General features: G+C 38.1%; 1 protein-coding gene across 4 annotated transcripts in view; it reads right to left on the bottom strand.

The window, feature by feature from the left end:
• The window catches only part of SCFD2 (sec1 family domain containing 2), a 493,080-nt gene that overhangs the window by 152,981 nt on the left and 327,682 nt on the right, over window positions 1-12,417 (bottom strand). The gene's annotated exons all lie outside the window — the stretch shown is intronic.

A 12,417-nucleotide genomic window follows, 5' to 3' on the forward strand; every position in this document is an offset into this window, starting at 1 on the left:
GTACTTTCATGAACATGGATATGTAAATGACTACGGTTTTTCATTTTTTTTTTCTTTCTCCTTCTCAGGAAAAATTTCATACAATTTTCCAGAAAAGTAAGCTATCACCACCAGAAAAACAACAACAACAACAAAATAAGACACAGAAAAAACTAAAATTCTTTTTGTTAAACTGTGATTACAGAGTTTCTTCCACACTGTTTAAATTGCCCCTCAGTTCCACTCAGAGATTCTAGGAAACTCGCTGCTTTCAGGAGTAGAATATTCCCATTGTAAAAGACATTTCAAGAATATCCAGTCCAAGTCCTGCATTTAGAAAGGAAAACTTGCCCAGAGCCCACTGCTAATTAGAGGCATAACTTAATTAAGTTCCACCAGGGCAGGAGTTATCACTGTGCTTCCGACGCCTAGCACAATGCCTGGTACATGGTTGACATTCTATAGGTATTTGTTGGCTAAACAGATGACTTAACATGAGATAAGAATGCTGCCTCCAATTTCCTAGTGCAGTCCTGCTACAGCAACATAGCCACAAGGCCAGTTTTTAAATGATGCACTAAATGGGAAACAAGGATATCAGAGCCATGTTTGAAGATTAGCATTTTCAGGGCTGAATTAATCTTGCCAGCTAGGGACATGTGGATAAAATTACAGTGAGAACCCTGCAAATCCATACTGGCTTATCATCATGTAGCGTTTTAGGCAATCACTCTAGGAGCCAGATCCTTTTGGGTGTCTGAAATACTCCATAACTTCTAGACAACTAGAGTAGTAGTACTGCCATTACTTGAAGGTCACTCTAATAGGATACAGTGCAGGGCAAGCAGAAAAAACATAAAATGCAAACTTTTAAATTCAAACCATCATTTTTTCTTAAAAGGAAAAGGCAAGAAATGGAGAATGACAAATTCCAAAGTTGACAATGGTTACTAAACTCTTTCAGTTTTTTCCCTGCTAGTGAAAGTGTATAACTTCTCTGGCCAAATGATATGTGTACAAATTACTGTTTTGAAACAGCAATGAATTGCCTGTCACCCTAGTGACCTGATAGAGTTAATATACACCAAGGTAACAATCTCCTTAAGTTCCTAATTGACCACATTATCAGTGAACAGACCTGTCTTTTGTTGAGCTAGCCTCATCCAGAACCATGGGCTTTTTTCCCTGAAGGGTTCTAAACTCCAGAGTTCTGCAAACACATCCTCTCAGCTTACCCTGTTCTTCCCATCCTTCCAGGCCTTGTTTGTCCACCCTCCTTCATGAGGTCTGCTCAGTTACCCAGCCCCACACACTTCTTTTTTTTTTTTGGCCACAGTCTGATGCACCTTCAGGAAAGAACTGGTCCAGCTCTGAAGTGTCCTGCGCAGTGATGTAGGTAAAGTGGGCTGACCTGCTCAGTGTTGGTTTTCCAACGTCCTTGGATAGGGTGATTAGAGAAATCTCTCCCAGCCCCAAGAGTCTATAACTCCACCTACTCTTTGCATTTGTTACTTTGGCAATTCTTTAAGTTCTTCACCTGGAAGTCTGGGAGTGATCTACAGAAGAGTATGAACAATTAATATACATATATTTAATAAAAAGTAGGCTGGTAGCGGTGGCTCATGCCTGTAATTCCAGCATGTTGGGAGGCCAAGGCAGGCGGATCACTTGGGACCAGGAGTTCGAGACCAGCCTGGCCAACATGGCAAAACCCTGCCTTTACAAAAAATACAAAAATTTGCCAGGTGTGGTGGCACCCACCTGTAGTCCCAGCTACTCGGGAGGCTGAGGTGGGAGGATCGCTTGAGCCCAGGAGGCTGAGGCTGCAGTGAGCTGCATTCAAACCACTGCATTCCAGCCTGGGTGACAGAGTGAGACCCCATCTCTAAATAAATACATAAAGAAAAACAATAAAGAAAGAAAGTAAAGTAAGTACATTTTTGTACTAATTAAGATTTTATTTTTTTTTTCTTTATGGGATAGACTATGGTAGCAATATTAAAGTTTTAAGAAAAATATATGTGGGCGGGCATGGTGGCTCATGCCTGTAATCCCAGCACTTTGGGAGGCCGAGGCAGCCTGATCACTTGAGGTCAGGAGTTTGAGACCAGCCTGGACAATATGGTGAAACCTTGTCTCTACTAAAAATACAAAAATTAGCTGGGCGTGGTGGCAGGCTCCTGTAGTCCCAGCTACTTAGGAGGCTGAGGCATGAGAATCACTTGAACCTGGGAGGCGGAGGTTGCAGTGAGCAGAGATTGCGCCACTGTACTCCAGCCTGGGTGACAGAGCAAGACCCTGTCTCAAAAAATAAATAAATAAATAAATAAAAGAGAAAAAGAAAAATATGAGAGAAATGCTTAAAGTTTTATTCTTTAAATTCTTTTTGTTGTCAAATTAGACAAAATACTGCCAATATTTTATTTTATTGATAACAAATATAAACATACCTTGGAAAAACTAGGTAAAATTATTTGTAGGCTAATTCTTTGTGAATCATACTATAGTACTCCTTCTCTCTCCCATGGATATATGTTCTCTGTTCAACACAATCAAGGAGGAACTATGTCTTATTTTTTCGGTGATTTCCTCATATTATGGCTCAATGCTACTTATTCAATAGAGTGCTTCTTATTCAATAGAGTGCTTCTTATTCAATAGAGATGGAATGCTTCTTATTCAATAGAGATGGAAGAAAAGGGAGAGAGGGAAGGATAGAGGGAGAGAGTAAGAAGAAAAAAAGAAGAGGAAGAAAGCTCTTCCCCGGGGTTTTAAGTTTTCCCTGGTCAAGTATTTTATGGGTTAAGTATAAAGGGGGAGTGACTACCAGGCTCTTTTCAAGCTTGCCAAACTAAGTTTTTTTCTCAATTCTACCACAAAGCTGAATCAGTTACTTGATGAAATGTTCTCAGGACTTTTGAAGGTTAAGTAGGACCAGTGCATAGTAAGCTGGCACACTGGAGGTGAGAGACAAGTAGGCAAGCAGGTTATTTTCTGAACCATTTCATTGACAAACGCATGTTACACATATTTTATAGCTTGCTTTGAAATCTTGCTGGTTGAAACGAAAAAGATGGCAGTTTCTAGTACTCCATTCCAGTACAAAGAAGGCAAGCTTTTAGTAACAAAAATAATTCTATTCTTTTTGGCTTAAACAAATATCGAGCTGTAAAATTTTTCTTGTGATGTGTGGTATGTGTGTGTATTTAAGAGGAAATTATTCTGTAATTTCACACTTTCCCTTTTAGGAAGAATCTGGAAAAGTTTATGCCAATCTTCATCTTTGGAAAAATCTTACGAAAAAAAAAATTTAAACAAAGGTGTGCAAAAATTGCTTTTCCTTAACTTTGTTCTTCTACCCCGTCCAACCCTGGTGAGTTCCACTTTCTACTAAACTGCTCCAAGAGGCAAGAGGGGAATGAGGCAAGGCCTTCTGGTAAACAGGTGGTCAGAGGCCCAGAAAGCAAGATAGAAGCTCTAATATTTTCTTTCTTTTCTTTCTTTAGATCATATTGTACATGCACTCCACCTTGAAGACCTGTGCCTTAAACAATTCGAGTTTCTATAACTTGAATTTAACTAAAAGATGTGTTCATTTTGACTTCATTAAGCTATAAACAACAACATGGTCTAAAGGGGTTTGGGAACTTCATTTCTTGGGTAAATTTAGAAGCACTATGGTAGGTCTTTAAAATTCTTAACTCTGGAACAGAATACAGTGTTTAGAAACATATCCACACATATATGATCAACTGATTTTGATAAATGTGCAAAGGCAGTTCAATGGGGAAAAATAATCTTTTCAATAAATGGTACTGCAACTACCATCTGTAATCCAAAAAATGAACCTCAACTAACACTTTGTACCTTATAGGAAAATTAATTCTAAATAGATCATAGATCTGAATTTAAAGGTAAAATTATAAAACTTCTAGAAGAAATCATACAAGAGACTCCTTGTGGTTTTAGGTTAGGCAAAGATTTCTTAGATTTCTTAGACATGACACCAAAATCATAATCCCTTTTAAATTGGTAAATTGAATATAATAAAAATTTAAAACTTCTGATCTATTAAAGACACAGTTGAGCGAACAAAATGAAAAACACAGTCTAGGAGAAAATATTTGCAAAATAATATCTGTTAAAGGAATTATATCTAGAAAACATAAAGAACTCTCAAAATTCAATATAGGAAACAACCCAATGAAAAAATGGGAAAATATTTGAACTGATACTTTACCTAAGAAGATATATGAATGGCAAATAAGCACATGAAAAGATACTCAGTATCATTAGTCATTAGGGAAATGAAAATAAAAACCACAATGAGTGGTAGCTACAAACCTACTGGAATGGTTCAAAAAACAGAAACAAAAAAGGAAATCCTGACAATACTAAGTGCTGGTAAGGATATGCAGAACTGGAACCTTCTTATATTGCACATGAGAATGCAAAATGGTACAGACACTTTGGAAAAAAATCTAGCCTTTTTTTTTTTTGAGACAGAGTCTCATTCTGTCACCCAGGCTGGAGTGCAGTGGCGCGATCTCAGCTCACTGCAACCTCTGCCTCCTGGGTTCCAGCGATTCTCCTGCATCAGCCTCCCGGGTACCTGCGACTACAGACGCATGCCACCATGCCCAACTAATTTTGCATTTTTAGTAGAGACGGAGTTTCACCATGTTAGCCAGGCTGGTCTCGAACTCCTGACCTCAGGTGATCTCCCTGCCTCAGCCTCCCAAAGTGCTGAGATCACAGGTGTGAGCCACCACACCCGGCCAATCTAGCAGTTTTTATGAAGATAAACACATACTTACCTATATGACCCTGTAATTCCAATCTTGAACATTCACCCAAGTGAAATTAAAGTTGATGGACATATAAAAGCCAATACATGCATATTTATAATGGCATTATTGATAATTTCAAAAACTGGAAATAATTCAATTCACCTGGCTAATGAATAAATACATTGGTACTCCCACACAGCAGAAGACTTCTTTTCTATAAAAATAATTAAACTCTTGACACACATAACAAATGCATTATGCAAAGTGAAAGAAGCTATATTTAAAAGGCTACATCCAGGAGAGCTCTGGCTGGCATCTGGTAGGTGCCCCTGTGGGATGAAGCTTCCAGAGGAAAGTCAGCAATCTTTGCTGTTCTGCAGCCTCCACTGGTGATACCCAGGCAAACAGGGTCAGGAATGGACCTCCAACAAACTCCAGCAGACTGGCAGCAGAAGGGCTTGTTAGAAGGGAAACTAACAAGCAGAAAGGAAGAGCACATCCACTCAAAGACCCCATCTGAAGGTTACCAACATCAAATACCAAAGATAGCTAAATCCACAAAGATGGGGAGAAACCAGTGCAAAAAGGATGAAAATTCCAAAAACCAGAAGGCCTCTTCTCCTCTAAAAGGCCTCTTCTCCTCTAAAGGATCACAACTCCTTGCCAGCAAGGGAACAAAACTTGACGTAGAATAAGTTTGACAAACTGACAGAAATAGGCTTCAGAATGTGGGTAATAACAAACTCCTCTTAGCTAAAGGAGCATGTTCTAACCCAATGTAAGGAAGCTAAGAACCATGACAAAGACAAAAGTTTAGACGAACTGCCCACTAGAATAACCAGTTTAGAGAAGAACATAAATGACCTGATGTAGATGAAAAACACAGCACGAGAACTTCATGAACCATACACAAGTTTCAATAGCCAAATTGATCAAACGGAAGAAAGGATATCAATGATTGAAGATCAACTTAATGAAATAAACAGTTAAGACAAGATTAGAGAAAAAAAGAATGAAAAGGAATGAACAAAGCCTCTAAGAACTATGGGACTAGGTGAAAAGACCAAATCTATGTTTAATTGGTATACCTGAAAGTGACGAGGAGAATGGAACCAAGGTGGAAAACATACTCTTCAGGATATCATCCAGGAGAACTTCCCCAACCTAGCAAGACAGGCCAACATTCAAATTCAGGAAATACAGAGAACACCACAAAGATACTCCTAGAGAAGAGCAACTCCAAGACATGCAATCATCAGATTCACCAAGGTTGAAATGAAGGAAAAAATGTTAAGGGCAGCCAGGCAGAAAGGTCGGGTTACCCACAAAGGGAAGCCCATCAGAGTAACAGTGGATCTCTTGGCAGAAACTCTACAAGCCAGAAGAGAGTGGGGGCCAATATTCAACATTCTTAAAGAAAAGAATTTTCAACCCAGAATTTCATATCCAGCCAAATTAAGCTTCATAAGTGAAGGAGAAATAAAATCCTTTACAGATAAGCAAAAGCTGAGAGATTTTGTCACCACCAGGCATGCCTTACAAGAGCTCCTGAAGGAAGCACTAAACATGGAAGGGAACAATCGGTACCAGCCACTGCAAAAACATACCAAATTGTAAAGACCATTGACACTATGAAGAAAATGCATCAAGTAATGGACAAAATAACCAGCTAGCATCATACTGACAGGATCAAATTCACACATAACAATATTAACCTTAAAGGTAAATAGGCTAAATGCCCCCAATTAAAAGACATCGACTAGCAAATTGGATAAAGAGTCAAGACCCATCAGTGTGCTGTATTCAGGAGACCCATCTCACCTGCAAAGACACACATAAGCTCAAAATAAAGGGATGGAGGAATATTTACCAAGCAAATGTAAAGCAAAACAAAAACAAAAACAAACAAAAAACAAAAAACAGGGGTTGCAATCCTAATCTCTGATAAAACAGACTGACTTTAAACCAACAAAGATCAAAAGAGACAAAGAAGGGTATTACATAACGGTAAAGGGATCAATGCAGCAAGAAGAGTGAACTATCCTTAATATATATGCACCCAATACACAAGCACCCAGATTCATAAAGCAAGTTATTAGGCCTACAAAGAGACTTAGACTCCCACACAATAATAGTAGGAGACTTTAACAAACCCTTGTCAATATTAGACAGATCAATGAGACAGAAAATTAACAAGGATATTCAGGACTTGGACTCAGTTCTGGACCAAGCAGACCTAATAGACATCTACAGAACTCTCCACCCCAAATCAACAGAATATATACTCTTCTCAGCACCTCATTGCACATATTCTAAAATTGACCACATAATTGAAAGTGAAACACTCCTCAGGAAATGCAAAAGAATGGAAATCAGAACAAACAGTCTCTCAGACCACAGTGCAATCAAATTAGAAATCAGAATTAAGAAACTCACTCAAAACTGCCTAACTACATGGAAACTTAGCAACCTGCTTCTGAATGACTACTGGGTAAATAACGAAATGAAGGCAGAAATAAAGATGTTCTTTGAAACCACTGAGAAAGAAGACACAACATACCAGAATCTCTAGGACACATTTAAAGCAATGTGTAGAGGGAAATGTATAGCACCAAATGCCCACAAGAGAAAGGAGGAAAAATCTAAAATTGACATCCTAACATCAAAATTAAAAGAACTAGAGAAGCAAGAGCAAACAAATTCAAAAGCTAGCAGAAGACAAGAAATAACTCAGATCAGAGCAGAACTGAAGGAGATAGAGACACGAAAAATCCTTCAAAAAATCAATGAATCCAGGAGCTAGCTTTTTCAAAAGAACAACAAAATAGATAGACCACTAGCCAGAATAATAAAGAAGAAAAGAGAGAAGAATCAAATAGATGCAATAAAAAAAGATATAGGGGATATCACCACTGATCCCACAGAAATACAAACTACCATCAGAAAATACTATAAACACTTCTATGCAAATAAACTAGAAAATCTAGAAAAAATGGATAAATTCCTGGACACAACACCCTCCCAAGTCTAAACCAGGAAGAAATCGAATCCCTGAATAAAGCATAACAAGTTCTGAAATTGAGGCAATAACAGCCACCCAACCAAAAAAAGTCCAGGACCAGACAGATTCATAGCCGAATCCTACCAGAGGTACAAAGAGGAGCTGGTACCATTCTTTCTGAAACTATTCCAAGCAACAGAAATAGAGGGAATCCTCCCTAACTCATTTTATGAGGCCAGAATCATCCTGATACCAAAACCTGGCAGAGACACAACAAAAAAAGAAAATTTCAGGCCAATATCCCTGATGAACATCGATGCGAAAATCCTCAATAAAATACTGGCAAACTAAACCCAGCAGCACATCAAAAAGCTTATCCACCATGATCAAGTTGGCATCATCCCTGGGATGCAAGACTGATTCAACATATGCAAATCAATAAACGTAATCCATCACATAAACAGAACCATAACCAATCACACAATCACTATATGATTATCTCAATAGATATGCAGAAAAGGCCTTCAACAAAATTCAACACCCCTTCATGCCAAAAACTCTCAATAAACTAGGTATTGATGGGATGTATCTCAAAATACTAAGAGCTATTTATGACAAACCCACAACCAATATCATACTGAATGGGCAAAAACTGGAAGCATTCCCTTTGAAAACCAGCACAAAACAAGGATGCCCACTCTAACCACTCCTATTCAACACAGTGTTGGAAATTCTGGCCAGGGCAATCAGGCAAGAGAATGAAATAAAGAGTATTCAAATAGGAAGAGAGGAAGTCAAATTGTCTCTGTTTGCAGATGACATGATTGTATATTTAGAAAACCCCATCATCTCAGTCCAAGATCTCCTTAAGTTGATAAGCAACTTCAGCAATGTTTCAGGATACAAAATCAATGTGCAAAGATCACAAGCATTCCTATACACCAATAACAGACAAACAGAGAGCCAAATTATGAGTGAACTCCCATTCCCAATTGCTACAAAGGGAATAAAATACCTAGGAATCCAACTTACAAGGGATGTGAAGGACCTCTTCAAGGAGAACTACAAACCACTGCTCAACGAAATAAAAGAGGACACAAACAAATGTAAGAACATTCCATGCTCATGGATAGGAAGAATCAGTATTGTGAAAATGGCCATACTGCCCAAAGTAATTTATACATTCAATGCTATCCCCATCAAGCCTCCACTGACTTTCTTCACAGAATTGGAAAAAACTATTTTAAACTTCATATGGAACCAAAAAAGAGGCCACATAGCCAAGACAATTCTGGGCAAGAAGAACAAACCTGGAGGCATCACGCTACCTGACTTCAAACTAGACTGCAAGGCCACAGTAACCAAAACAGCATGGTACTGGTACCAAAACAGAGATATAGACCAATGGAACAGAACAGAGCCTCAGAAATAACACCACACATCTACAACCATCTGATCTTTGACAAACCTGACACAAAAAAGCAATGGCAAAAAGATTCCCTATTTAATAAATGGTGTTGGGAAAAACTGGCCAGCCATATGCAGAAAACTAAAACTGGATCCCTTCCTTAAACCTTAAGCAAAAATTAACTCAAGATGGATCAAAGACCTAAACATAAGACCTAGGACCATAAAAATCCTAGGAGAAAACCTGGGCAATACCACTCAGGACATAGGCATGGGCAAAGACTTCATGTCTAAAACACCAAAAGCAATGGCAACAAAAGCCAAAATTGACAAATGGGATCTCATTAAACTAAAGAGCTTCTGCACAGCAAAAGAAACTATCATCAGAGTGAACAGGTAACCTACACAATGGGAGAAAATTTCTGCAATCTATCCATCTGACAAAGGGCTAATATCCAGAATCTACAAAGAACTTCAACAAATTTACAACAAAAAAACAAACAACCCCATCAAAAAGTGGGCGAAGGATATGAACAGACACTTCTCAAAAGAAGACATTTATGCAGCCAACAGACATATGAAAAAATGCTTATCATCACTGGTCATTAGAGAAATGCAAATCAAAACCACAATGAGATACCATCTCACGCCAGCTAGAATGGCGATCATTAAAAAGTCAGGAAACAACAGATACTGGGGAGGGTGTGGAGAAATAGGAATGCTTTTACACTGTTGCTGGGAGTGTAAATTAGTTCCACCATTGTGGAAGACAGTGTGGCGATTCCTCAAGGATCTAGACCTAGAAATACCATTGACCCAGCAATCCCATTACTAGGTATATACCCAAAGGATTATAAATCATTCTACTACAAAGGCACATGCACCCATATCGTTTTTGTTTTTATTTTATTTTATTTTATTTATTTTATTATTATTATACTTTAAGTTCTAGGGTACATGTGCACAATGTGCAGGTTTGTTACATAGGTATACACGTGCCATGTTGGTTTGCTGCACCCATCAACTCGTCATTTACATTAGGTATTTCTCCTAATGCTATCCCTCCCCCAGCCCCCAATCCCCTGACCAGCCCTGGTGTGTGATGGTCCCCGCCCTGTGTCCATGTGTTCTCATTACTCATTCCCACTTACGTGTGACAACATGTAGTGTTTGGTAGTCTGTCCTTGTGATAGTTTGCTTAGAATGATGGTTTCCAGCTTCATCCATGTCCCTGCAAAGGACATGAATGTACATGTATATTTATTGTGGCACTGTTCACAATAGCAAAGATTTGGAACCAACGCAAATGTCCATCAATAGTAGACCGGATAAAGAAAATGTGGCACAAATACACCCTGGAATACTATGCATCCATAAAAAAGGATAAGTTCATGTCCTTTGCAGGGACATGGATGAAGCTGGAAACCATCATTCTCAGCAAACTATCACAAGAACAGAAAGCCAAATACCACATGTTCTCACGCAAAAGTGGGAGTTGAACAATGAGAAAATATGGACATAGGGAGGGGAACATCACACGCCGGGGCCTGTCAGGGGGTGTGGGGCTAGGGAAAGGATAACATTAGGAGAAATACCTAATGTAGGTGACAGGTTGATGGGTGCAGCAAACCACCATGGCACATGTATACCTATGTAACAAAACTGCACATTCTGCACATGTATCCCAAAACTTAAATTATAATAATAATTAAAAAATCTACATCTACATGATTCCATTTTTGTGATATTCTGGAAAAGGTGAGATTATAAGAAAAGAAAACAGCTCAGTGATTGCCAAGGGCTGGTTTGGGGGGAAAGGGTTGATTACAAAGGAGCAGTAAGGGGAAACTTTTGGGGTGATGGGCAGTTCTGTATCCGAATTGTGGCGGTTACATGACTGCATTCATTTGTCAAAACTCATAGCAGTTCACTTTAAAAAGTGAATATCCCTGTATTTAAGTTTAAAAAGTAAATAAAGATTAACACCTTATGTAAATGTCTATCAACTGAGGACTGTTCAAATAAATTATAGGCCACTTCCCAAAGGAATATAGTATTCCTATCAAAAATGAATAAATAGATTTATATGTAATAGCAGGAAAAGCAAGTTGTAGAAGTTTAGGCATATGGTGATTCCATTTTAAGGACTATATGAACAAGCATGTTAGGAATTATATAGGAAAAATTATGGAGAAATATTCTCCAAATAGTAAGAGAAGTTGCATAAGAGACTTTCATTTTCTGTGATTTGCATATTAAAATAATGTATGGAGTTTTTAAACAGATTTTTTTCATAATACAAAATTTTAAAGCTATAAAATCTTATGTCTCAAGCTGAAGACATGCATGTATTTTCCCAATAAAGCACAGAATTTAAGTGATTTCATGACAGGTTCTTAAAAATGAGTTTCAGCAATAATTTGAAATGGAAACTTGATTCTGAGTACATTATAGAAGCATTTGTGTTGCCAATCAGTAACTGTCTGACAAGTTAGAATATGTTATGTAACCAATGAAAATGGCCAACCAATATGACACAAATCCTGTAAGCACAGGTGCATGTAAAAGTGATGCTTTTACAGCCCCCCAACCTTAACTCTTTTTGGACACTATGTTGTCTCAGATCTGAAGTTGTCTTTTCATAGAAAAATGTCTAATCTCTTTAAAACCACATATATCTGTTATATTTATGAGACCTGAGAACTCATCCTGGCAAAGCAAGGCCAAGGAAAAAAATCTATTGATAAACATGACAACAATCCAAAAATGAACATAATGTCACAGTTCAACCAAACCCTGGGGAATATAGATCTTGGATATCTGCTTGGAACATGACACTTCATTGCAAGCCAGAATATGAAAATTTTTATTAAGTCTGCATTCAGTGAAAAGAAAATTAGTGGTGCTCTGGATCCTTCTAAGAGGGTTGGCCAATGTTAGGCTGTAAGTGTAATACTTTTTGAATAATAATTGGTAACACAAAGTGACTCTTGGAATACCACATGCTCCCAGAATTTTCCTTAATAAGAACAGCATGTTAGAAAGATAATTCTGAAAAGAAAAACGAATACAAGTCTAGAAGAAGTCATGTTTTCTGATTTACTGAGCTCTTTACTGGCATTTACTGGAATCCAATAGAACTCCAGCCTCCTGGAGTTGGCAAATCCTTTCATGAGTCTGAGGAGGGTTCCATGAAGCAGGAAATCTGCCAAAATGAAATCACCTTTCTTTGGCCCACCC

This window comes from Homo sapiens, chromosome 4, assembly GCF_000001405.40.
Source record: "Homo sapiens chromosome 4, GRCh38.p14 Primary Assembly".
Classification (NCBI taxonomy): Eukaryota; Metazoa; Chordata; class Mammalia; order Primates; family Hominidae; genus Homo; species Homo sapiens.